The 27,795-nt window shown below is 34.0% G+C and overlaps 1 pseudogene; it reads left to right on the top strand.

Moving 5' to 3' along the window:
- The window catches only part of LOC105378800 (endogenous retrovirus group K member 21 Gag polyprotein-like), a 213,368-nt pseudogene that overhangs the window by 91,480 nt on the left and 94,093 nt on the right, over positions 1-27,795 (top strand).

The following is a 27,795-nucleotide window of genomic DNA, read 5'->3' as shown; positions in this document are numbered from 1 at the left end:
AATGAGGAATGATTTATCAGTGGGTATGAGGTTTCATTTTCAGGTGGTAAAATGTTCTGTTAATAGATATATGTGATAGTCATACAACCTTGTGAATGTACTAAAAGATATTGAATTGTATGCTATAATATGGTCAAAATGGTGAATTATATATTATGTGAATTTTACCCCAATTTAAAAACAGAATGGCATAGAAGTGTGAAATATTATGGTATAGTTTATGTTACTATAATATAGTAAGTGGCATAAAGTAATCATATTATCTGGCATATAAGATATCAAAAATGTTTGCTGAAAAAAAAATGAATAAGATAAAGGAAAATTATTGGAGGACCTTGCCAATAGTGTTAAGGAACTTAAACATCTGCCATTGAAGGTCTGGAATCTAGAAAGTGGGATTTTTAATGTAATACTTTAGTATATTTACTGTCATTTAAAAAGTCACTGCAAAAATCACCAGTCTAGTCAAGAAAGGATGAGGTCTTGAACTAGAACAGCGGCCACTAGGTTGTAGAGGAGAGAGAAATTTACATTCCAAGAAAGCATCTCGGCCGGGTGTTGTGGCTCATGCCTGTAATCCCAGCAATTCAGGAGGCCGAGGCGGGTGAATCACGAGGTCAAGAATTCGAGACCATCCTGGCTAACATGGTGAAACCCTGTCTCTACTAAAAATACAAAAAATTAGGCTGGCATGGTGGCACGTGCCTATAGTCCCAGCTACTTGGGAGGCTGAGGCAAGAGAATTGCTTGAACCCAGGAGGCGGAGACTGCAGTGAGCCAAGATCACGCCACTGCACTCCAGCCCAGGTGACAGGGCAAGACTCTGTCTAAAAAAAAAAAAAAAAAAGAAAGAAAGCATTTCAGAAACTAGTGGTTTATCAAGTATTACATGCACATAGACACTGAGCCATAATGCAGTCCTTGTCCTCAAAGAAACTACTGCTAATGAAAGTATGTTTATTTTGATTTTGCAAAATATAGAGTAAAAATAATATTATTGACATTTTTAGAATTTTATATATGCATATATTTATACAGAATATATACTAGATTGTATCATATATTATTTTACATATGAAACATTTATCTATATAGAGGGAAATATATATACCTACATGTATATCTATATATGTAGAGAAATATATATACGTACATATATATCTATATATATGTAGATATATATCTACAAATACGTAGATTAAGATATGACTACCAGAAATTATCAACTTTCAACTGCTGTGAAGATTACAGTCCAAAGTGGTTAATTCATTTTTACCAGTTCATTCTGTCAGGAAGATAATTAATAACGTCTTTTTTTTCTATTCTTATTTCAGGTGTTCTTCTGTTTTTCCATTGCATTTTCATTTGATTTTTCTGGCAAACATAAATAGGAGAATAACTAAATTTGAAAATATTTGGCCTTCCCTAAGTTAACAGAAAGAGGAAGAGAGAGTGAGGGAAAAATCATATTAAATCAACTCTGATATTCTGAAAGAATTGATGTACCTCCCATGTTAGCAAAGTACACCTCTTGCACGGGGAAAATCAGAGTTACTGTCTGAAAAAAAAATTAAATAACTATCCAGAATTATAATATGGTATCTGCCTGGGCATAAGCACACAAAGGGAAAGCTAAAAAAAAGTATTCAATTTTATTAGATACATATTTTATCCAAGATGAAGTCGCTATGACCCTCTATACTGTAATTCACATTTGAGACAGCTGCACTTTGCCTTTTTCACAAAACAAACCATCAGATGACGGTGATAACAAAATAAGAGATGGTGAATACATCATCTTCCACAAAACAGAGTCAATTACTCCCGGATTTATATATGAAAAAATATGAATATGTTAACATCTTTCACCACATCATTCCAAACCAGCTGAGGAAAAACAATTGCTTGAGAAACCTATGCTGTTTTGAGAAACAGAAAGTAAAGTTTGTAATCAAGATTCTGCTTTAGCTATTTACTAAATGCATTTTCACTTGCAGGACCAGGCATAAAGTTTATAATAAAAATCTGTTTATTTAATTCACTAAAATATATGAATAATGTTGCTACAAACTTCTATAAAAATGTTCATGTGTAATTAAGTGATAGGAATTTTAAATTGAATGCATGAAATATTCTATGTGATTTGTGGGGGTTTTTTATTATTAGGTAAGTTACAGACTAATTTCTGTAACCTTATGCCTACAGTATAAGACTTAAGAGATTATAGAATTATTGGCTGGGACAACTTTAGAGACTGGCTAATACTCATTTTGTTACATTTTCACTTTACCTGATAGAAATCTGTTGAACAATGTTTGGCTAGCTAAGCTTTCTATTTCACCAGTGCATCTCATATGCTAATGAATTAATTCATTGATCATTACCAAAATCTATTTGAAGCCCCATTGTTCACTACTTAAACTGCAGTATTACACTAAATTGTTGGTGTACTGGTAGGTTATACACACACACACACATTTATATATGTATATATAAAACATGAAGATACATATATACACATTTATGTATATGTATATATAAAACCTACCAATACACCAACATTTTAGTGACTGTGTTGAATATATATATACACATGCACAGTCATGCGTCACTTAATGACAAGGATACATTCTGAGAAATACATGGTCCTTAGGCAATTTCATCCACACCTAAGCTATATGGTATAGACTATTGCTCCTAGGCTGCAAACCTGTGCTGCATGCTACTGTACTGAATATTGTAGGCCATTGTAACACAACAAGTATTTGTGTATCTTAACATAGCTAAACATAGAGAAAGTACAGCAAAAATACGGTATTATAATCTAATGGGAAGACCATTCTATATGTGGTTTGTCATTGACTGAAACATCATTATGCAGCACACGAGAGCTTGTGTGTCTGTGTGTGTGTGTGTTTGTGTGTGCATTAGCTATGTATACATTTTACAGGCAATATGTATATTTATAGGCAATATACTTATTGCCTATAAAAAGGTACACATGAAAATGATGTTATATTTATCAACAAATGTGAAAATTAATAGTTAATATGAGTGCAGTTTTAATAGTTACAAACCATAAACTAATGTTAATAGTGTAAATAGAATATTATTTGCATATATGAGCAACCAGTAGCCAAGAGTAAAAGGAGGATGTACCCAGTATGTAAAAAAATGCTGGACTTTATTATTTGAATGACCTTCTTGTTTATCTATTAATGATAGGTCACACACTATAATTTTTAAAATAATAGTATATATGCTTTATAAAATCTTTGATTTAGAAATATTACAAATCTTTCATTGAAGAATGTTTAGTGATATTGAAAAAAGAGATACCTCATCTGCCGGGATCCAATTATGCAGATGCATGGAGCTTTATGAATCTTGTTTTTAGTAGAATATATATTACAATTCTTATTAATTTTGAAATTATCTTAGTTTTTATGTGTACATCTGTCTTCTCTTAATTAGGCTATAAAGGGCTATATTTAGCCAATAATTAAAAATTTAGTTCTGAGGCAAGAATATTCTTTTGGATATGAATGAACTACTTGACATACCAACAGATGTTTCTTCTATTTAAGATAAGGAAAATATTTTTCCTCCTATACAAATGAAACCATAAATATGAGCAGTACCTCAAATTTATATAAGATCCCCATGAATCCATGTTATGGAGAGATTTGAAGCAGGTGAGACTTAATAGTTGAATCTACAAATTCAACCAATAAAATTGAATTCATTCTATGCAGGTACCAGAAATTATTCATGTTCAGAAAAAGCACATTTTTCTAATAATGACTCTGTTTTATATTATTTTACTAACGCTATTCACATTTTGAAGTGTTTCTTTTATATTAAAACAGTTGGCATAATATTAGACAGTTCTTAGTTTGACAGCCATACAGGACACAAAAGGCAAAGCAAGCTGAGAGCTCAGAAAGGATGAAATTCATAACCCTTAATTGAGATATATTTAATAGTTTGAAGTGATTGAGAAAGATTGTTTTAAGAACGATTAATTTTAGCCTTAATTCACAATACTTAATAAGAAAAGTTACTTTATATTGTAAATAAATAGAGGACATTTCCTAGAAAATTTGCTGTTGCATATATTCAATTAGGGATCTGGTCTGGTATTATTAAATAATACAAACACTGAGTGGCTTAAAAATATACAGCTAAGATACTTATATTATCCTCTTTGCACAGCTTCACAATTAAGTTAAATAGAATGTTCTGTACTTCGAAACCTAGGCAAACTTCTTAAAATGTTTAGCTACTTTTTCTTATTTCCTAACTAGCTAATACTAGTTAATACTAGTATTAATACTAGGAAGAAACTCAGGAAATTCCATAATGGCATTTGTAGGAACTAGATTGTCTAGAAAGGTATATGATGTTTAATGCAAATATTTTTGACAGATTGTTTAGTGTATACGAGTTTAAAAATAAACAGAAATGCATAATCTTTCATGGATAACATATATAAGCAGCTGGAAATGATATATTTAAAATTGTCCCCTGTCTTAAGTTACAGAGAACAAACAGGGTTTACAATCTTTTGTTTTATCAAGAAAAATGAGATTGAGATGTTATATATCTTCTCTCATTTTAGTATGTGAAATCTTTATTGTGGTACAAATTGGCTGTATGTGAGAACATAGAAGTGTGTCATTCTTAGCAGTATAAAATTGTCAGCAACTAGGCAAGAAAAGGGAGATAAATAAATAAATACAGGATTCATTATGTAACTACTAGTTTTGTGTTTATTGCTTTTAATGAAAAAGACCAAAGATAGCTATTTTTCTCAAGAAGATACCTTTTTAAAAATAATTTCCACTTTTATTTTAGACTCAGGGTGTACAAGTACAGGTTTGTTAAATGGGTGTGTTGCATGATGCGGAGGGTTAGGGTACAGATAATCTAGTCACCCAGGTTGTGAACATAGTACTGGATAGGTATTTTTCAGCCCATGTCTCCCATTCTCTCCCCCTTCTAATAGCCCCCAGTGTCTATTGTTCTTCCCTTTATATCCATGTGTTCTCAATGTTTAGCTCCCACTTGAAAGTGAGAACATTTTTTTTGTTTTTTTTTTTTCTGTTCATGCTTTAATTTGCTCGGGATAATGGCATCCACCTGCATCTATGTTGCTGCAAAGAACATGATTTCTTACCTTTGAATGACTGCTTAGTATTCCATGGTGTATGTGTACCACATTTTCTTTATTCAATCCACCATTTGATGGGCATGTAGGTTGATTCTGTGGCTTTGCTATTGTGAATAACACTGTGCATGTAACTTTTTGGTTGGATGATTTATTTTCCTTTGGGTATATACAATATATACCCAAATGTAGATCCAATAATGGGACTGCTGGGTCTAAGGATAGCTCTCTCTTAAGTTATTTGAGATGTCTCCGAACAACTTTTCACAGTGGCTGAATTCATTTACATTCCCACCAAAAGAATATAAGGGTTTCCTTTTCTCCATAGCTTCACCAGCATATGTTGTTTTTTGACTTTTTAATAATAGCCATTCTGATTGGTGTAAGATGGTGTCTCATTGTGGTTTTGATTTGCATTTCTCTGATGATTAGTGATGTTGACCATTTCAACATGTTTGTTGGTCACTTGTATGTCTTCTTTTGAGAAGTGCCTGTTCATGTTTTTTGCCCATTTTTAATTTTTTTTTTTTTTTTTTTTTTTTTTTTTTTGCTTTTTGATGATGAAGTTCCTTATAGATTCTGGATATTAGCCCTTTATTAGATGTACAGTTTGTGAATATTTTCTCCCATTCTGTAGTCTGTCTGTATACTCTGTTGGTAATTCTTTTTTCCATGCAGAATCTCTTTAGTTTAATTCAGTCTCACTTGTCACTTTTGGTTTTTGTTGAAATTGCTTTTGTGGACTTAGCTGAAAATTCTTTCCTAAGGCCCGTGTTGAGAAGGGTATTTCCTGGATTTTCACCAAGGATTTTTATAACTTGATATCTTACATTTAAGTTTTAATCTATCTTGAGTTAATTTTTGTATATGTTGAAAGGTGGGAGTTGTTTCATTCTTCTGCATATGGCTAGCCAGTTATACCAACACAAGTTATTGAATAGGAATTTCTTTCCTCATTGCTTGTTTTCATCGACTTTGTTAAAGATCAGATGGTTGCAGGTGTGTGGCTTTGTTTCTGGGTTCTCTATTGTGTTCCATTGGTCTATGTGTCTGTGTTTGTACCAGTATCATTTTTTTTTTTTTTTTTTTTTAGTTTATTTAAGGTAGGTTCAAACTGCCTTATAGTACAGTTTGAAGTCTGGTAATGTGATGCCTCTGGCTTTGCTCTTTTTGTTTAGGATTGCTTTGACTATTTGGGCTCTTTTATTATTCCATATGAATTTTAGAATAGGTTTTCCTATTTCTGTGAAAAATAATGTTGGTACTTTTGTAGGCAAAGCATTGAATCTATAAATTGCTTCGGACATTGTGGCCATTTTAACAATATTGATTCTTCCAGTTCCAGTGAGCATGGAATACTTTTCCATTTATTTATGTCATCACTGATATCATTCAGCAGTGTTCTACAGTTCTCTTGTAGAAATCTTCGACCTCCTTGGTTAGCTGTATTCCTAGGTACTTCTTTTTTGTAGTTATGTTACATGGAATTGTGTTTTTGATTCAACTGTCAGCTAAAACATTATTGGTGTATAGAAATGTTAATGATTTTGGAAATTGATTTTGTATCCGAAACTTTACCAAATTCATTTATCTGTTCTAGAAGCCTTTTGGCAGAATCTTTAGGGTTTTCTAGGTATAAATCATATCACCAATGAAAAAATATAGTTTGACTTCTTCCTTTCCTACATGGATAACTTTTATTTCTTTCTGTTGTCTAATTGTTCTGGCTAGGACTTCTAGTACTATGTTGAATAGGAGTGGCAAAAGCAGTCATACATATCTTGATCCAGTTCTTAAGGAAAATAGTTGCAGCTTTTTCCCATTTAGTATAATGCTGGCTGTGGGTTTGTCATGGATGAGTGTTATTATTTTGAGGTGTGTTACTTCAATGCCTAGTCTGTGAGGATTTTTATCATGAAGGAATATTGGATTTGATCAAAAGCTTATTCTATGTCTATTAAGATGATCATATGGTTTCTATTTTTAATTCTGTTTATGTGGTGAATGACATTTATTGATTTGCATATGTTGAACCAACCTTGTATCCCAGGAGTGAAGCCCAGTTGATTGCAGTGAATTAATTTTTGAATTATTTCAGGACTCTGTTTGCTAGTATTTTGTTGAGGATTTTTGCATCTGTGTTCATCAGGGATATTGGTCTAATGTTTTCTTTTACTGTTGTGTCTCTGCAAGATTTTGGTATCAGGCTGATGCTAATACTGCCTTCATAGAATGAGGTATGGAAAACCTACTCCTCAATTTTTTGCAAACATTTCAGTAGTATTGATAGTAGTTCTTCTTTGTATGTCTGGTAGAATTCAGATGTGAATCCATCTGGTCCAATTTTTTTTTTGGATAGTAGAGATTTTATTATTGATTCAACTTTGGAACTTGTTGATGATCTGTTTATGTGTTCACTTTCTTCCTGGTTAAATCTTGGGAGGTTGTGTATTTCCAGGAACTTATCTATTTCCTCTAGATTTCCTAATTCATGTGTATAGAGGTGTATAAAACAGTCTCTGAGGATCCTTGTATTTTTGTGCAATTGGTTGTCATGTCATCTTTGTTATTTCTGATTGTGCTTATTTGGATCTTCTCTGTTTTTCCATTTGCTAATCTAGTTAGCAGTTTATCAACCTTGTTTATTTTTTTGAAGGACCAGCCCTTGGTTTCATGCACCTTTTGTATGGATTTGTGCATCTCAATTTTGTGTGGTTCTTTCCTGATTTAGTTATTTCTTTTCTTCTGCTAGCTAAGAGGTTGGTTTGCTCTTTTGTTCTAGTTCCTCTAGATATAAAGTTAGATTGCTAGTCTGAGATCTTTCTATTAGATGAAGGTGTTTAGTGCAATGAACTTTCCTTTTAATAATGCTTTTGCTGCATCTCAAAGATTTTAAAAAGTTATTTCTATATTTTCATTAATTTTAAATATTTTGTATTCATGCCTTAATTTCATTGTTCACCCGAGTTATTCAGAAGAAAATTGTTTAATTTCCATATATTTGCATAGTTTTGAGAGATCTTCTTTGTATTGATTTCTATTTTTATTCTGCTGTTGCCTGAGAGTGTACTTAATATGATTTTGATTGTTTTGAATTTATTAAGACTGACTTTATGACCACACATGTGGTTGATCTTAGAATATGTTCTTTTTGCAGATGAGAAAAAAAATGTATTCTTGTTGAGTCTATCAGGTTCACTTAGTTGAGTAGACAGGGTTTCTTTGTTAGTTTTCTTCCTTGATGATCTCTCTAACACTGTCGGTAAGGAGCTGTAGCCTCCCATTATTACTGTGTAGCTACCAAAGTCCTTTTGTAGGTCACAAAGAACTTGTTTTATGAATCTGGGAGCTCCAATGTTGGGTACATATATATTTAGGATAGCTCAGTTTTATTTTTGAATTAAATCTTTTATTATTATGTAATGTTCTTCTTTGTCCTTCTTATATTGTGTTGGTTTGAAGTCTGGGTTTTCAAATATAAGAATTGCTGCTTCTACTCTCTTTTTTTCTGTATGCATGGTAGATCACTCTCCATTTCTTTACTTTGAGCCTGTGGGTGTTGTTACTTGTGAGATGGGTTTCTTGAAGACAGCAGATAGTTAAGTCTTCTCTTTTTATCTGGGCTTCCACTATATGCCTTTTAAATAGGACATTGAGATCATTTACATTCAGGTTTAGTATTGATATGTCAAGATTTGATTCTGTTATTATGTTGTTTGCTAGTTATGTAGACTTGATTGCATTGTTTCTTTATAGTGTCTATGGGCTAGGTGCTCAAGTGTCTTTTTGTGATAGCAGGTACCATTCTTTCCTTTCCTTGTTTCACACTCCCTTAATGACCTCTTGTAAGGCTGGTCTAGTAGTAATGAGTTCCAATAGCATTTGCTTGTCTAAGAAAGATTTTATTTCTCCTTCACTCATGAAGTTTAATTTGGTGGGATATGAAATTCTTGGTTAACATTTCTTTGCTTTAAGTATGGTGAAAATAGGCCCCCAATCTCTCTTGGCTTGTAAGGTTTCTACTGAGAAGTTAATTGCTAGCCTCATGGGATTTCCTTTTTACATGACTTATCCCTTCTCTCTAGCTGCCTTTAAGATTTTTTTCTTTCACATTTACCTTGGTGAACTGGATGACTAATTTCCTTGGGGATGGTTGTCTTGCATAGTATCTCATTAATGTTCTCTTCATTTATTAAATTTTCATGTCAACTTCTCTAGCTATATTGGGGAAATTATTGTGGACTATATCCTCAAATATGTTTTCCAAGTCATTTACTTTTTCTCCTCTTTCTGAAATGCCAGTGAGTCAGAGGTTTGGGCTCCTTACATAATACCATATTGCTTAGAGGCTTTTGTACATTTTATAAGATTCTTTTTTCTATATTTTTATCTGAGTTGATTTGAAGGAACAGCCTTCAAGCTCTGAAATTCTTTCCTTAGCTTCATCTGTTTTGCTGTTAATTCTTCTGACATAATTACAAAATTCTTTTCGTAAATTTTTTAATTCCATGAAGTTCAGTTTGGTTCTTTATTAAAATGGCTATTTCATCTTTCAGTTCTTGGGTTATTTTACTGGATTTCTTGGATTTGGTTTCCACATTATCCTGAATCTCAGTGAACTTTCTGAATTCTATGTCTGTCATTTCTATTTTTTTTAAACTTTTAATTGGTATTTATTTAGTTAAGTGAAGAAGTCAAGAGAAAAAAAAAGTTAAGGATTTTTAAAGAAATCTTTGTGCTTATAATTTTTTTAAATTGGGAATCTGATTTTCCATTTTTAATAGGGCAAAGATCTGGAATACATATATTTTACTTGGATTGAGTAGAATTTCTAATATTAAATTAGTGATGCTTTTTAGACACTAAAGTGTATTACATTAAAAGAAGTTGTAAAGTCATATCTTGGTATATCAAAGAGTTCTGTACATTTAGTTGTTCATGAGAATTTTTTGACACTAAAATATAATTCACTGAAATATGTAATACTAAAAAACTATAGTTTGGAATTTTTCCCACTTTTTTTTTAACAATGTCTTAGAATTGTATTTAAGAACCAAATACCAAGAGGGAGAATGTTCAATGTTCTCTCATATTTCATCTTTATGAAATTTGTTGTTCAAGTTGTTTTACTACAACTGTCTTAACCTTTTCTTTATCCCATTTATTTATTTATTTATTTATTTATTTATTATTTTTTAAATTATTATTTTGCTTTAAGTTCTAGGGTACATGTGCACAATGTGCAGGTTTGTTACATATGTATACATGTGCCATGTTGGTGTGCTACATCCATTAACTCATCATTTACCTTAGGTATATCTCCTAATGCTATCCCTCCCCCCTCTCCCCACCCCCTGGCAGGCCCCGGGTGTGTGATGTTCCCCACCCTGTGTCCATGTGTTCCCATTGTTCAATTCCCACCTATGAGTGAGAACATGCGGTGTTTGGTTTTCTGTCCTTGGGATAGTTTGCTCAGAATGATGGTTTCCAGCTACATCCATGTCCCTATAAAGGACATGAACTCATCCTTTTTTATAGCTGCATAGTATTCCATGGTGTATATGTGCCACATTTTCTTAATCCAGTCTATCATTGATGGACATTTGGGTTGGTTCCAAGTCTTTGCTATTGTGAATAATGCTGCTATAAACATATGTGTGCATAACTCTTTATAGCAGCATGATTTATAATCCTTTGGGTATATGCCCAGTAATGGGATGGCTGGGTCAAATGGTATTTCTAGTTCTAGATCCTTGAGGAATCGCCACACTGTCTTCCAAAATGGTTGAACTAGTTTACAGTCCCACCAACAGTGTAAAAGTGTTCCTATTTCTCCACATCCTCTCCAGCACCTGTTGTTTCCTGACTTTTTAATGATTGCCATTCTAACTGGTGTGAGATGGTATCTCATTGTGGTTTTGATTTGCATTTCTCTGATGGCCAGTGATGATGAGCAATTTTTCATGTGTTTTTTTGGCTGCATATATGTCTTCTTTTGAGAAGTGTCTGTTCATATCCTTCACCCACTTGTTGATGGAGTTGTTTGATTTTTTCTTGTAAATTTGTTTGAGTTCTTTGTAGATTCTGGATATTAGTCCTTTGTCAGAAAGGTAGATTGTAAAAATTTTCTCCCATTCTGTAGGTTGCCTGTTCACTCTGATGGTAGTTTCTTTTGCTGTGCAGAAGCTCTTTAGTTTAATTAGATCCGATTTGTCAATTTTGGCTTTTGTTGCCATTGCTTTTGGTGTTTTAGTCCTGAAGTCCTTGCCCATGCCTATGACCTGAATGGTATTGCCTAGGTTTTCTTCTAGGGATTTTATGGTTTTAGATCTCACATATAAGTCTTTAATTAATCTTGAATTGATTTTTGTATAAGGTGTAAGGAAGGGATCCAGTTTCAGCTTTCTACATATGGCTAGCCAGTTTTCCCAGCACCATTTATTAAATAGGGAATCATTTCCCCATTTCTTGTTTTTGTCAGGTTTGTCGAACATCAGATGGTTGTAGATGTGTGGTATTATTTCTGAGGGCTCTATTCTGTTCCATTGGTTTATATCTCTGTTTTGGTACCAGTACCATGCTGTTTTGGTTACTGTAGCCTTGTAGTATAGTTTGAAGTCAGGTAGTGTGATGCCTCCAGCTTTGTTCTTTTTGCTTAGGATTGTCTTGGCAGTGCATGCTCTTTTTTGGTTCCATATGAACTTTAAAGTAGTTTTTTCCAATTCTGTGAAGAAAGTCATTGGTAGCTTGATGGGGATGGCATTGAATCTATAAATTACCTTGGGCAGTATGGCCATTTTCACAATATTGATTCTTCCTATCCATGAGCATGGAATGTTCTTCCATTTGTTTGTGTCCTCTTTTATTTTGCTGGGTATTGGTTTGTAGTTCTCCTTGAAGAGGTCCTTCACATCCCTTGTAATTTGGATTCTTAGGTATTTTATTCTCTTTGAAGCAATTGTGAAGGGGAGTTCTCTCATGATTTGGCTCTCCGTTTGTCTGTTATTGGTGCATAGGAATGCTTGTGATTTTTGCACATTGATTTTGTATCCTGAGATTTTGCTGAAGTTGCTTATCAGCTTAAGGAGATTTTGGGCTGAGATGATGGGGTTTTCTAGATATACAGTCATGTCATCTGCAAACAGGTACAATTTGACTTCCTCTTTTCCTAATTGAATACCCTTTATTTCTTTCTCTTGCCTGATTGCCCTGGCCAGAACTTCCAACACTATGTTGAATAGGAGTGGTGAGAGAGGGCACCCCTCTCTTGTGCCAGTTTTCAAAGGGAATGCTTCCAGTTTTTGCCCATTCAGTATGATATTGGCTGTCGGTTTGTCATAAATAGCTCTTATTATTTTGAGATATGTCCCATGAATACCTAGTTTATTGAGAGTCTTTAGCATGAAGGGCTGTTGAATTTTGTCAAAGGCCTTTTCTGCATTCAATCTGATTAAGAATTACTGCTAGAGAGCTAGCGTGCTCTTCTTGAGGTAAGGGGACACTCTTATGGTTTGGATTGCCAGCATTCTTATGCTAATTTTTTTCTTATCTGAGAGGTCTAGTGTTTCTTTAATTGTATTGTAATCTGAGAATAGTCAATTGGCTTCATTTGTGGGTATTTTCAGAGAGCTATGGCTCTGTGCAGGATCTTCATTTGTGAGTAGATGATTCTTTCCCTGCATTTCATACGTGGTGTATAATTTCAGAATATTTTGGTGTTGTAATTTGAGGTGAAAACCAGTAGATTTTGCTTAAGAGTAATTGCTGGCAGATACGCAGTTACTCAGCTGTATTTGCAGTAGTGCTCAGTGTTGAGGATGGAGAGGAATTATCCCCCCACCAGGTCTGCTCCTAGGCTTTGGGGAGCCCCTTGTGATCACCGGTCCTGTGCCTGTATTTCTTTTGTGAGATGTTCTGGACTATCAGAGTCCTGTCAGCTGGAGGCTGCAACTGGCAGAGAGGTCATACACTTCCTAGACTGGCCATGCAGTGGGAGACAATGCCCTGCCCCTGGACCAATCCAGAAGCCCACATGTCTCACCCCTCTCTGTGTTCTGAGGGTGGGAGTTCCACCCCTGCTCATGTGCTGAGAAGAGCTCTCTGCTTGGTACTCCTAAGCTGCACATTGCTGCTCTAGAGTGCTGGCACCAGCACCTGGCTTCCCCTTCCAAGCTCCTGTGTTTGGACACCAGCTTTGTTGGGGGATCTGAAGTACTCCCAGGCCACCAGGAATTACTATGGTAGGGATAATTGCAATGCACTCAGTCTGGGCAGCAGAGGCTGCTCCGTGTACATATTCCTGTGGGAATGGCCAGGCAGGGGTCTTGCAAGGGGCTAGTAGGCAGGAGAGCCTACAGATCAGAAATGCCCTTGCAAGAAAGTTGGCACTGCTTTCTCTTTGTCCCATAATAAGCTGGAGATAGAGCAATTTGGAGGAAGATGGGGAACCTTGAGGGATGGCCTCATATGGCTCATCCATAAAACATACAGGCTTATATGGCTATGCTCTACCATAGTTATCCTGCACCCAGAATCCCCTCTGGGCTCTTTGCAGGCTTGAGTTCTGTCTCTGCCTAGTCTCTGGGCATATCCCCCTGCCAATTCAAATGTCTATAGGGGTAGTGGGATCTTTCTTAGCTAGGATCCTAGAGGCCCACAGCAAGAGTGGTCTGTCCCACCTATTTTATATCTTGATGAATGAATTTTGTCCAAATAGGAAACAACTTATTTTCATTTCTGTGTCTAAGACAGATGTGTTCAGATCATCTATACGTATGTTACTGGACTTGACATTTGATTCAATATCTTCCCTAAATGCACTTGGGAATATATAAAATAACAGTATGAAAAGATTCAAATAAAAGTAGTCAAAACATATATCAAACAATGCAGACACACATACGCAGACACAAACAAGATTACTTGCTTTATGTACAAAGAGGCATCTAAATTTAACTATTTTATTTTCTTTTTTTATCTATCCATACATGATATAGCTGAATTTACACCAATTATTAGATTGTCAAACTGGACTCGCACACATTAAGCTTGACTAACTAATGTCAAGGGTACAGGCAATTCAAAGACTCAGATGAAGCAGATAGAGGTCTTGAGAGGTAAAGGACAATTTCTTAAGTTCTTCTTGCATGAGAATAGCCATGGGAGGTTCAAAGGATTCCTAATTTAGAGAGGAATTTTAAATACTAAAATTATCATTTTATACCCCCAGAGAGTTGCATAGCCTTCCTTACATGACATAGCGATATTTCCTAGGAAATCAGGACATACAGGTACAGGGCATCTTGTTAAAGTGAAATATAAAGTCTCTTCCTCCTTCCAAATATCAATGCATTATGTTATGTATTTACCAAGGTGACCATCAACTCACATTTGAAGGGAATGAGTAGATCCTAAATGAGCTGCTCCTTTCTCCCAGTCAGTAGTCTTCCAGCCATTCAACAATTAATCAATTTAACAACTAACACAGATTTTAATAGTTTTTAATAGGTTTGGAACATTTTTTCTACTATGAAGTTACTTACAATCAAATATTTGTTTTTTATCTAGTTTTCTAATTATTTTGTCTTTATCAAAAAGTAATTTAAGGACCTCCTACTCACAATTGCATCTTTTCTATCTAACAGATGTGAATCACGTAGAAGTCAGTCATAATTTATTTGCTTAAAAGAAATGAGTGAAAACCTACTTAAAAGTGTAAAAGCTCATAACTATAACCACATTGAAGCCTAAAAGATGTATCACATATTTGTGATTTGTTGTCAGAAATTTAGGGTGTCAGCAATAGAACATATTTAGTACCTATGAGCTACACGGTAGTACAAAGAAAAAAAAAATGCCAAAGTAATTTATCATAGTTCATGTTATAAAAGGAAAGTCTATCAGCTAGGTCATCAAAGACAAATGTAATCTAATAAATAAGTATAGCTTTGATGTGCAAAAAATTATATATAATTATGTTTTCCATTCATATTTTATAGTTTGAAATTTTCAAAACAATCTATTTTTTGTTTATTATTATTATACATGACTTATGCTTGTTACAAATTTAACAGAACAGGCCAATGATACTCATAATGTCTCAACAATTTTTTTATAAGTAATATCGTAAGCTAGAGTTGAAGCAAAGACTTAAACATTATTTGTGAAATTTCCATGTTCTTCCCACTGTACCACACCGACACCCATTATAAATGTGGCCATACCATACAGGCCAAAGTGCTTTGTAAGTCATCTTATATTAGATATTGTCTTCTGTCACCATTGATAATTCATTAAGCAAATATTATAAACAAGAATAAATATGAAATATAATAAAGCATAATAGTATTACTAATTTACACTGGTTATCATTTTTTTTAGAAAAATTAAGATTTGCTTTAGAAATGTCTAGATATTTGGCAGCAGCATAAATCACAATTCTAAACTACTCAAAAGAAGTGACAAAGAAAATCACAGTTCCCTTTGACTACAATTCTACCTTTAAAATAAATAGTCTTATGATTGAGAAAATATTTTCCATGATAAATGTTCTTCAAGAAAGTATATCAGTGGCAAAGTAAAATAAAATGGCATTTAATTTTATGTATTCAATAGTTATGTGAAAATGTTCAACATTACGGCTGGGCGCAGTGGCTCCCATCTGTAATCCCAGACTTTGGAAGGCTGAGGTGGGCGGATCACCTGAGGCCGGGGGTTTGAAACCAGTCTGACCATCATGGAGAAACCCCATCTCTACTAAAAATAAAAAATTGGCCAGGCGTGGTGGTACATGCCTGTAATCCCAACTACTTGGGAGGCTGAGGCAGGAGAATCGCTTAAACCTGGGGGCAGAGGTTACAGTGAGCCGAGATTGCGCCGTTACACTTCAGCCTGGGCAACAAGAGCGAAACTCCATCTCAAAAAAAAAAAGTTCAACATTACTAATCATCAAGGAAATGCACTTTACAACCAGAATGAGATATAATCATATCCATTAGAATGGTCATTAACAAAAAGTTGAAAGATAACAAGTGTTGGCTAGAAGGTGGGAAAAGGGAACTTTTGTACACTGTTGATGATTAACCCAGTCATTATGGAACAGAGTGGCTTTTCCTCAAAAACTTAACAATGGGACTACTATGTGGCCCAGCAATCTCACTTCACATTAAATGTATCATCACATACATTTAAAGGAAATAAAATTAGTATGTTGAAGAGATGTCTGCACTATTGTGTCATTGCTACATTCTTTATGATAGACAAGATTTGGACTCAGCCTAAGTGCCAGTCATCAGATAAATGTATAAAGAAAATATATTATGTATATACAACAGAGCACTTTTCAGCCTTAAGAAAGAAGGAAATTCTCTCATTTGCAAAAACATGAATGAACCTAGAGGACCTTATGTTAAGTGAAATAAGTCAGGCACAGAAAGGCAGATACTGCATAATCTCATATATATAATCTAAAAAAGTTGAACTCATAGAAGCAGAAAATAAAATGGTGGTTTTAAGGGTCTAGGGGCATTTGGGGTAGGGAGATGTTGATCGAAGGGTACAGAGTTTCAGTTAGGAAGAATAAATTCTGAAGATCTTGTACAGCATGGTGACTACAGTTAGTAGCAAATGTATACCTGAAAATTATGAAGAGATGTGATGGTGATCTTAAATTTCTCACCATAAAACAATTGATAAGTATGTGAAGTAATGGTTATATTAAGTAGCTTGATTTAATCATTTCAGAATATATACATATATAAAAACAACACATTGTAACCCATAAATATACACAATTTTTGTCAAGTATACCTTAATAAAGCTGGGGAAAATGAATAAATGAGTTAATTAATTAGTGATAAAACATAAAGTTTATGTCTATGAAAGATAAAATGTGTATGTCTTGTTATATTCATCTTATTCTATCCCAAAGAGATGGCATTTAATGAAAGAAACGCAGTTTGAAAGTAACTTGCCATTTTGAAACATTTACTTTTCCTAAGCACTATTATGAGCTTTTGATACAAAAGCACAAATAGAAGTGTCAGTCAGAAAGCTCTATGGGAAGTTTGTGAAAGGATTCTGAAGAAGTCATGAAACAAATATTTTCCTGAGCTACATGTGCCCATCACTGTGCTAGATTGTGGTTATAACAACAGTGGGAATAACATACAGTGTTGGACCGAAGAGTTATTTGGTGTGTTAAGAAAATACTTGGGGATTGGAAGATTGTTAATATGTGTAAGGTAATTTAATTCATTTTTATGCAATGAAAATGTAGCCAAATGCATAAACATGCATATATACATGCGTGCCTACTTACACACATAAATATAAAATTTCAACATTTCTGGAAAGATTTTCTCATTTCATCCAGTTACAATGCTGCCATGTCTAGAAAAACAGTTGTTTTGTGTGATATGTGTACAATAAGCTCTGAATAAATTAAGAAATTTTATAGTTCAAACTTTAACTTATTCAATTCTTTCAGTGCAGTTTCCTTGATCACATAATCAGCCTGAATTAGTTTCTCCCTCTTCAATTTCCACAACATTTAAAATATACATTATTGGCCGGGTGCAGTGGCTCACACCTGTAATCTCGGCACATTGGGAGGCCGAGGCGGGCAGATCACCTGAGGTCAGGAGTTTGAGACCAGCCTGGATAACATACTGAAACCCCGTCTCTACTAAAAATACAAAAATTAGCCAGGTGTGGTGGTAGGCACCTGTAATCCCAGCTAATCAGGAGGCTGAGGCACAAGAATCGCTTGAACCTGGGAGGCGGAGGTTGCAGTGAACCGAGATAGTGCCTCTGCACTCCAGCCTGGGTGACAGAGCAAGACTCCATCTCAAAAAAAAAAAAAAGGAATATACATTGTTATTTTATTTTTTATAGCTTCATAGTTGGTAATGGCATCTTTTTTTAATAACAAATTAAAAACCGTGACAATGATGGAAAGTATATAACTAAAGCAGTCAAAAACATCTTCTCTTAATTTTCTTTATCAATTTACTCTGGTTAAGTGTTCTTTTATCTTTTCACATCCAGAAATTTACATTTATAAGTTTCCTAGGTTAAAGTACATTTTTAAAAGTTGGCTTATAATAACCCATCTTACGGAAGATTGATATATAAATTAGATCATCCAATTAATTTATCTATAGTATAAAGATAAATGTCATTATCTGGGATAGAAATATTCAAGATGAGTCATATCTATTGTTGTTTGGTGAGTTCAAAATTAATCAGGAAAGTGATTCTCATCTTCCAAGTTTTAATAATATAATTATATGAGGGATAATTTGGCTGGTGTGATGGCTTCAAGTCACTGGTTTGTCCTCTCAGATTTTCATGCTGAACATTTTTTCTTTATATAAGATTCTTAGTTGCACTTCATAAGCCTCTGTTTGCTTTCTTCCATTTGATCTGATTTGAAAAATTCTAGGCCTTAAGTTTCATTTGCATTATATAGTCCATGCTGTGTTGACTCTATCATTTGAATTTTGCGCACCAATTTGGTATCTGCTATCATTTACAATAGAGTTCCAATATATTCAATGCATGTTGGCTGAGTTTTGACCAATGCATATTCCTGTGTAGCCCAAATACCTATAATGACAAAAAACATTTCCATCATTCCATAAAAATTATTTCATGTTCTTTTCCAATCAATCCCCTCATCACAAGTAACATTATTATGATTTTTCTTCATCATAACATTTTTCCTGTTCCAGAAATTCAAAAATTATGCATTATATATTACTTTGTGTAATGCTTCTGTCACCCAGCCTAATGTTTCTCAGATTCATCCTTGTTGTTGGGCAGATTAGTAGTATATTCTTACATTTGCAGAGTATGATTCCACTGGTATGAATATATGACAGTGTGCTGATCCATTCTGCTATTGATGGACATGCAGGGACCTATTATCAATAAAGCTGCTATAGATATTTCTATTTTGTTCTTTTCAGGAACATATGTTTCCATTTATTTTTGGCAAACTGCAGTTAGGAATAAGAGTGCCAGGTTTTAGGGTATTTAATTTTATAATACAGTGTCAAGAGACTTCTGTTCTGAACTCTAACAAGAAGTTGTCAGCTCTTTTCCAAACTAGTTGTACAATTTTACAGTTCCATGAACAATTTGTTAGAATCATCAGTAAAATTTGGTAATATAATTCTTTTAAATTTAGACATTTTGGTAGATGTTTACTGTTTTCTCATTGGTTTCAATTTACCTTTTGTTGATGATTAGTGATGTTCAGAACTTTTCCATGAGCGTATTAGCAATTAATATTTTTTGTTTTTGAAGTGTCTCTTCTGTTTTCTATTTTATTGGGTTGCTTGTTTCATTTATTATTCAGATGTAAGAGGTCTCTATATGTCACGGGCATTGTACTTTTGTCTGATGTATGTTTTGAAAATATTTTCTCCAGCCTGTGCCCTGCTCATTTATTTACTTAGTATTGTTTTCTTTTAATGAACAGAACTTTAATTTCTGGTTAAGTCTAATTTATCACTTTTTTTCTTTGTTACTGCTTTCTGTGAACTATGAAATCTTTATCTACCTCCAAGTCATGTACTGATTATTTCAGGTTTTCTTGTAAAAGTTTTATGATTTCAATAACTGAAACATAGATGAGTTTGTTCTATTTGTTGTCACACTTCCTGCCTCTTTTCATATCTAGTAACTATTTTGAACTTTAGAATGATTTTAGGTTCAGAGCAAAATGGAGCAGAAGACACAGATTTCCCATATGCCTCCTAGCCCCACACATGCATGGCTACCCTCGTATTTCAACGTTCCCCATCTAAGTAGCATATTTATAACAACTGAGAGCCTACAATAATACATCATCATCATTCAAAGTCCATAGTTAAATTAGGATTTGCTCTTGGTATACATTCTATAGAATTAGACAAATATGTAATGACAGATATCCACCATTGTGATACTATACAGGACAGTTCACTGTCCTAAAAGTCCTCTCTACTCCACCAATTCATCCCTCCTCGCTCTTAAGTTCTGGCAACCACTGCTTTTTGACTGTTTCCATAGCTTTGCCTTTCCCAGAATGTCATACAGTATGCAGCCTTTTCAGTTTGATTTTTTTTTTTTTACTTAGCAATATACATTTAAGTTTTCTCCATGTCTTTTCATGGCTTTATAGCTCATGCTTTTTTAGTATTGAGTAATATTCCATTTTCTGGAGGTACCACTGTTTATTTCTTCAGTCACCTACTGATGGGCATCTTGTTTATGTTCACATCTTGGCAATTATTAATAAAGTGACTCTAAAGACTTATGGGCAGGTTTTTGTGTGAACACAAATTTTATTTATTTTTATGTATTTATTTATTTTTTTGAGATGGAGTCTTGTTCTATTGCCCAGGCTGGAGTGCAGTGGCAATCTTGGCTCACCGCAACCTCTGCCCCCTGGGTTTAAGCAATTCTCCTGCTTCAACCTCCTGAGTAGCTGGGGTTACAGGCATGCGCCACTATGCCTGGCTAATTTTTGTATTTTTAGTATAGATGGGGTTTCACCATGTTGATCAGGCTAGTCTCGAACTCCTGACCTCATGATCCATCCACCTTGGCCTCCTAAAGTGCTGGGATTACAGGCGTGAGCCACTGCGCCCAGCTGTGAATACAAATTTTAAACTCCTTTGAGTAAATTCCAAAAAACATGATTGCTGCATCCTATGGTAAGAATATGTTCAGTTTTATAAGAAACTGCCAAACTCTCTTTCAAAGTGGCTGTACCATTTTGCATTTCCACCTGCAATCAACGAGCGCTCCTCTTCCTCCACATCCTCACCAGCATTTGGTGTCAGTGTTCTGGAATTTGGCTGTTTTAATAGGTGTGTAGTGGTATCTCATTGTTGTTTTCATTTGCATTTCCCTGATTACATAAGATGTGGAGCATCTTTTTATACATTCGTTTCCCATCTGCATACCTTTTTTGATGAAGTATTTGTTAAGGTATTTGGTCCATTTTGTAATCAAGTCTTTGGGGTTTTTATTGTTCGACTTTAAACGTTCTTTGTATATTTTTGTATATTTTGGATAACAGTTCTTCATCAGAAGTCTCATTTGCAAATATTTTCTTCCAGTCTCTCCCTTGTGTCTTCATTCTCTACATAGTGTCTTTCACAAATCAGATTTAATTTTAGTGAAACCCAACTATCTAGTAATTTTTAATTTTATGCTTGGCATTACATATAAAAAAGCATGGAAACTTCATGTCTTGCACTAGACAGGGTTCTCCCTTTCCTGTGTCAAACTATATAACAAAGTTCCTACCATTTCAATTCATTCAGGGCTTAAGCTGAGTTAATGCTTAATTGCAGTTTAATTCCACCTCTGATTTATTTCTACTCCTTGGCCCTGTCTTTTCTGGGATTGTGATTGAAAGCCTGGCAGTTCCCTAATGCCTCAGCTCTGAAATACAGTTGTGCAGAGGTTTGGAGCTAAGCTCTTTATCTTTTAGGTCCATGAGATTGTAAATTGTGGGTAGTAATCTGAGATCCACTGTGTTTTTGTTTGTAGCAGTATTTTTCCAGCAGGGTTTTGTCTCTAAGCACCTCCAGACACAGAAAATTATACTCCACCGTTTAACTTTTGTTCTCGCTTCTGCCTACAACCTGCATTGCCCAAGACATATTCTGGATAGAAATGATTTTACAGTTGGAACTCTTCTGGTTTTCCATCAGTCATGGCCAAAGTCACAGTACACAGATCTGCTAATTTTCTTCTGGCTTCTGCTTTCCTCAGTTGAGTCTAATTTGGCTGGGTCCAGCAAAATCTGCCCACCATCTCCTTTGGAAGAAAATAAATGCCATTCTTGATAAATGACATTCTTGAGAATTGTCCCTACTAGAGGGCTTTTTCCTTGCTAAAATTTTAGTTCATCTAGTGTTTGTTGCTTCTGAAGCTAGGCATTGCTTATAAAATATAATATTTGAAAGTTTTCTATGTATAGAAATATCCAGCTGCCATAATATATTGGAGTTTAATCAGATGTAGAAGTGAATGGCATTACTTAAAGTTTATTTTCTTATTATTTTTGCTGGTATATTTGGCAATTTTTAATTGAAAGTTAAATATGTTATATTAAAAAACTGTCAAGGCCCTAAATGATTTTTTTTTAGCATAGATTTACCTTTGCCTCTGACAAAGAGTTAGAATATGAGCAAATTTGCCCATGTTGATTTGAGTGATTTGAACCTGAGTTCAATCTTTTGAGAGCAGATCTATCCCCAATTTATACTTACTGCAACAGAATAGCTTTAGGAGATATAAATGAAAGCTTGGTTATTTTCTAGAGCCTCTTCTCTTTCGCCATCTCTGGATTCTGATTTGTTCTATTACTGCTGAAAGTTCTTCTTAGTGTCTCAGTCTTTAACCACCATTTACTGCTGAGTTTCTCAGCCTGTCACCTGCTTCTTACAAATTAGCAAGTGCTTCAAGAGGAAAAACAACATAAATGTTTGACTTCTCTAAGTTCATCTTCCTCTGGGAGCTTTGTTTCCCAAATCCCAGTTGCCTCAATAGCTCTTTTATTTTCAACTTTACATTTTGTCCTTCTCTTATTATTGTCCTCAATGGAAGAATTTATCTACTTTGTCATAGCCAAAGGTGGAAGCATGCATCTGACTTTTTGCAACCCAAACACTCGTTTCCAAGTCAATACCTTTACTTTAAACTTGAATGTGTTAGATATTGAGTGTAAGTAAATTTAGTTGGGCCTTTCATATCCAGATTGTAGCTTTTCTCAAATTTCCATACACTTCAACTATATTGGAAAAGTTAATTGGCCATATAGACAGTCTTAATAGTAACTAAGTTTCATACCTTCTTCATATCCAATTCCTCACTATACTGTGTTTCAATCCAGAACCAGACTACATTATAAATCTTGCTATCACATGGAATTTTAAGACTTTAAAAATGTTTAATTTCATGTTAAAATACAATAATCAAACTTCTGCTTTTATATCTACAACTTGTTCACATTTTTAATTTTGCTACATCTTCTTATGAATTTCAAAAAGTTTCTTGATTATCCAATTTCCAATAAGCATATAGTCTTCTTCCAAATTTGATTTCTATAATGATAAGCTTGTACAAAATGGTTATTAACTTTTTAAAAGGTCTTCATAATAGTTTGGAATGTCCTAACATAAATAAATTCCATGAAATTCCCTCTCTGCTCAAGGATATTGATTATTTACTAAGAAAATCTCACCATCATGCTGATTGATATACATTTTCCATCTTTGGCAATATCCAGCTTCACAAAGTTTTGGCTTACATTCTAAAACATTTTTATTAATATATAATAGTTGTACACATCTTTGGGGTACATTTAATATTTTGCTACATGCATAGAATATGTAATGCTCAAATCAGGGTAATTGAGTTATCCATCACCTGAAACGTTTATCTTTTCTTTGTGTTAGGAAAATTCCAATTCTTCTCTTCTAGCTTTTTTGAAATATACAATAAATTATTGTTAACTATTATCTTCCTGTGGTATTATAGAATACTAGAACTTATTCCTTCTATCTAACTGTAATTTTGTACTCATTAACAAATGCTCAGTATCACAAATCATCAGGGAAATGCAAATTAAAACCAGAATGAGACATCCTCTGGACCAGTTAAAATGGCTATTACCCAAAATATTTAAAAGTAGCAGATGCTGGTGAGGATGTGGAGAAAGAGTAATTTTCATACCCTGCTGGAGGGAATGTAAAGTAGTACAACCATGATGCAAAACATTATAGAGTTTCCTTAAAACACTAAAAATAGAACTACTAGATGAGCCATCAACCCTGCTGATGGGTATGTACACAAAAGAAAGGAAATCAGTATATCAAAGAGATATCTGCACCCCCATATTTATTGCAATACTATTCACAATAGCCAAAATAAGTAATCAACCTGTGTCCATCATTGGATGAATGACTAAAGAAAATATAGAATAGATACAGAGTGGAATGTTATTCAGCCATAAAATGTAATAAAATTATGTCATTTGCAGCAACATGGATGATATTGGTGGTCATTATATTAAGTAAAATAAACCAGGCTCATAAAATCAAATATTGTATGTTCTTACTGATATGTGGGAATTAAAACTGTGGATCTTATGGAGGTGGAGAGTAGAATGGTGGTTGCCAGAGGTTGGGAAAGGTAGTGGGAAGTGAGGGATGAAAAGAAGTATGTTTACATATTGAACAAGTTTATCTAGATGCTACATGCCAGTTCAGATTTCAGGAGTCTAATGATTTCATATGTTTGCAAGGAACGGAGGAGCAGTTGAGACAATCATTGTGCTATAAAGTACAAATAATATCAGGCACCACAAAAAAATGCAAACAGGTAACATTGAGAGAGAATCAATCAGATTTTAGACAATGAAATATAGACTGCATATAGGGGATAATCAACAAAGTTGGTGAGAAAGGATGAAAAGGCACCTGTAGATATTCTGAAAAATTAGAATATGATCTTGGAATTTTAAAGTCAAAGAGTTCTATCCTTTGAGTGAAGACATTGTCCTTATGGCTTATTAGGATTAAATATCTTCATATCAGTTCTTTAAGAAGACCATGACATTGTTGACAGAACAAAGTCTGTCTTGTTTATTTTTCTGTTTCTGTGTCCAACAAAATGTTCCAATCCTGTGTGGCGCTTAGCACATATTGATTCTATTAAAGTAAAAAATAGTTCAACTGTATTTAAATAATATAGTCTACGACTTTATTTTCAAGCGGAGGTTCACAAAGTTTACATTTCATGATTTGTATTATATTTTTACAAATATCCAAGACGGGTAAATATGTAAACTGAGAATATTTTAGTAAAATTTAATTGTTTCACATTACCAAAGCTAAATGTGTAAATTATGTTTTCACATCGAAGAAATAGGCACATGTTCTTCCTTGCTAAGAAAAATTATAATAATGTTTAAATGCAGAAACATGTCCTTCACCCCCCTTCTAGCAATGGAATATTAGATATATACTAAGCAGGTATGAAAAGTAATGTAACATGTGTTTATGAATCAGGGTTGGTTTGTGGCTATGGAACATACGATGTAAATAATAATGAAAAGTGTTTGAGTGTTCTTTATTATAAAGAAAAATAAATTGCTATTTGGATACATATATATAGCTCTTCACTAGAAACAAAAATTTGGAAATCTGAAATAAGATTCTCTCTCATACAATTTACTAGCTGTATGAAATCAGGAGCTCTTAATCTCATAGTATCCCAATTTTCTCTATTTCTAAAATGAACAAAAGGACATCAATGGTTGTGAGAATTAATTTAGGTAGGAATGTGATTGGTCTAGTATAATACTTGGCACACATTAGATATATAAGAAAAGATTATGAAAGTAAAGGATGTTCCCAAAAGTATTAAATGTATGATTATCATTAGCAAATAAGTGCTTAAACTTGAAAATGAGAACTACCTAGGGACATACTGAATAAGACAATTGATATGTTCATAGCCAATAACATCTTACATATTAGTTTTTAGAACAATTTAGGGTACTTAAAATGAATTATATGTTAATATTTTGACAAAAAATAAGACTTCCATATTTTATTTTTCTCAATTTAGTCAAAAGAAATTTTAACAATTAAGAAAAGTATTGATTATATAGTATGGCTAAAAAGTGCTGAAATTATCTCATTGTACATAACCTTAATAGTTTTAGTTGAAGAGACATGTGCTCCTGACAAATATTATGTTTGTAGTCCCGCCTTATCCATGGGATGTATGTTCCAAGACCCCCAATGGATGCCTAAAATCAAAGATAGCACCCAATTCTATATATGCCATGTTATTTTTCTTATACATACATACTTATGACAAAGCTTAACTTATGAATTAGGCACAGTAACAGATTAACAACAGTAATAATGAAATGAACAACTTTAACAATATACTATAATAAAATTATGCCAATGTCATCTCTTTCTTTCAAAATATATTATACTGTACTCACCTATTTTTTGGACCATGGTTGATCATTGTTAGCTAAAACCATGGAAGCAAAACTGTGGACAGGAACTACTGTACTACAAAATGCAGATACCAATAGCGGCCTTATATACAGTGGTGTGGTCTTAAATTTTAACAACCTGCTTTCTTATGGGGTGATGGTTGGATTTTTATATGGGGTGGATTTTCTTATGGGGTGGAAGGATTTTTATAGCACTTGCTAGCTTCTATGGTGTAAATAGTTCCACTATGGCCAACTTCTATCTACTAACATTGTGTCAGCCAGATCACAAAAGTTCTGGCAATTTACCAAATGGCTCTCATGAAGTAGTATAAACCAGTTCCAGTGCATCACTGCTATATGTATCATGATAAAATGTCTAGCAGTTCATACTTACATCCTTTGAACTCCTGCCTCTCTCCCAATTTTAGTCTTTCTGACAACCATCTTAGACTGTATTTGCATAGTTACAGCTTAATGATTATTTGATAATGTAGATTACCCAGAGGATTAGCATGAAGTTGGTAAAAAAAATACACTCATATAGAAAACAGTAGTGGTCTTCCTATTCTAAGATCAACATTCAAAGTCAGTTTAGGATGAGATATGGGGTTCGAATTATTATTGTTGTTGCTGTTGTTATTGAGACAGGGTCTCATTCTGTCACCCAGCCTGGAGTGCAGTGGTGCAATTTCGACTCAATGCAGCCTCAACCTCCTGGGTTGAGAATCTGGTGATTCTCCTACCTCAGCTTCCCAAGTAACTGGGACTACAGGCATACACCACCACACACAGCTATTTTTTGTATTTTTTGTAGAGACGGGGTTTCATCACGTTGAGCAGGCTGGTCTCAAACTGCTGGGCACAAGGGATCTGTCCATCTCAGCCTCCCAAAGTGCTAGGATTACAGGCATGAGCCACCACCCCTAGCTGGGATTTGAAACATTTTCTTAAAATTAATAATTTGGTTACATCATCAGGAGAAAGCAATTATGCAGGCATGATCTTTGAAACTAAAAAAAAAAAAATTACTTTTTTCTTAAATGTTATATTTCTTACCCAAATATAGAATATAGTTAAATGAAAGATGATGAGACACTTATTAAAATAATAAACTGCTAATGTTATACAAGAGGAGTTTCTACCACATTATTTTACCAAAATAGAAAAAACTTGAAATATAAAAAGTTCAAGAATGTCTATCCAGTCCAGTTTCTCTGTATAGAGGGTTCCAGGAACATGCCATGAGTAGCTTTTGTTTTTTGCCATGATATTTGTTTGATAGTCCAACTTCCTAAATTGAATGTAAAAAGTCACTGAAACAGAAGGCAGATCTCAAAGGGTTAGCTTGAGGGTGCCTGAGAATTGATAATAGAAGGAGTTCAATTTTGCACTTGGATTTTGTATCTTGGCACAAGGATACTGTTTGTTCCTCTGGCCCTTTACAAGCTTCTGTTTTTAATGTTCAATATCACTTTTTTTTTTTAAAGTGGCACACTGGGGCAAACTATGAAGCAGGCCTTCTGTTCTTTAATAATGAAAACCTAGTCTTTCCAAGAGATGGAAGATTCCAGAGTAACTCAGAAGACTGACCAAAAAGCTA

Source organism: Homo sapiens, chromosome 1, assembly GCF_000001405.40.
Source record: "Homo sapiens chromosome 1, GRCh38.p14 Primary Assembly".
Classification (NCBI taxonomy): domain Eukaryota; kingdom Metazoa; phylum Chordata; class Mammalia; order Primates; family Hominidae; genus Homo; species Homo sapiens.
The sequence above is the reverse complement of the archived record's forward strand: the minus strand, read 5'-3'. Positions and strand labels throughout refer to the sequence as shown.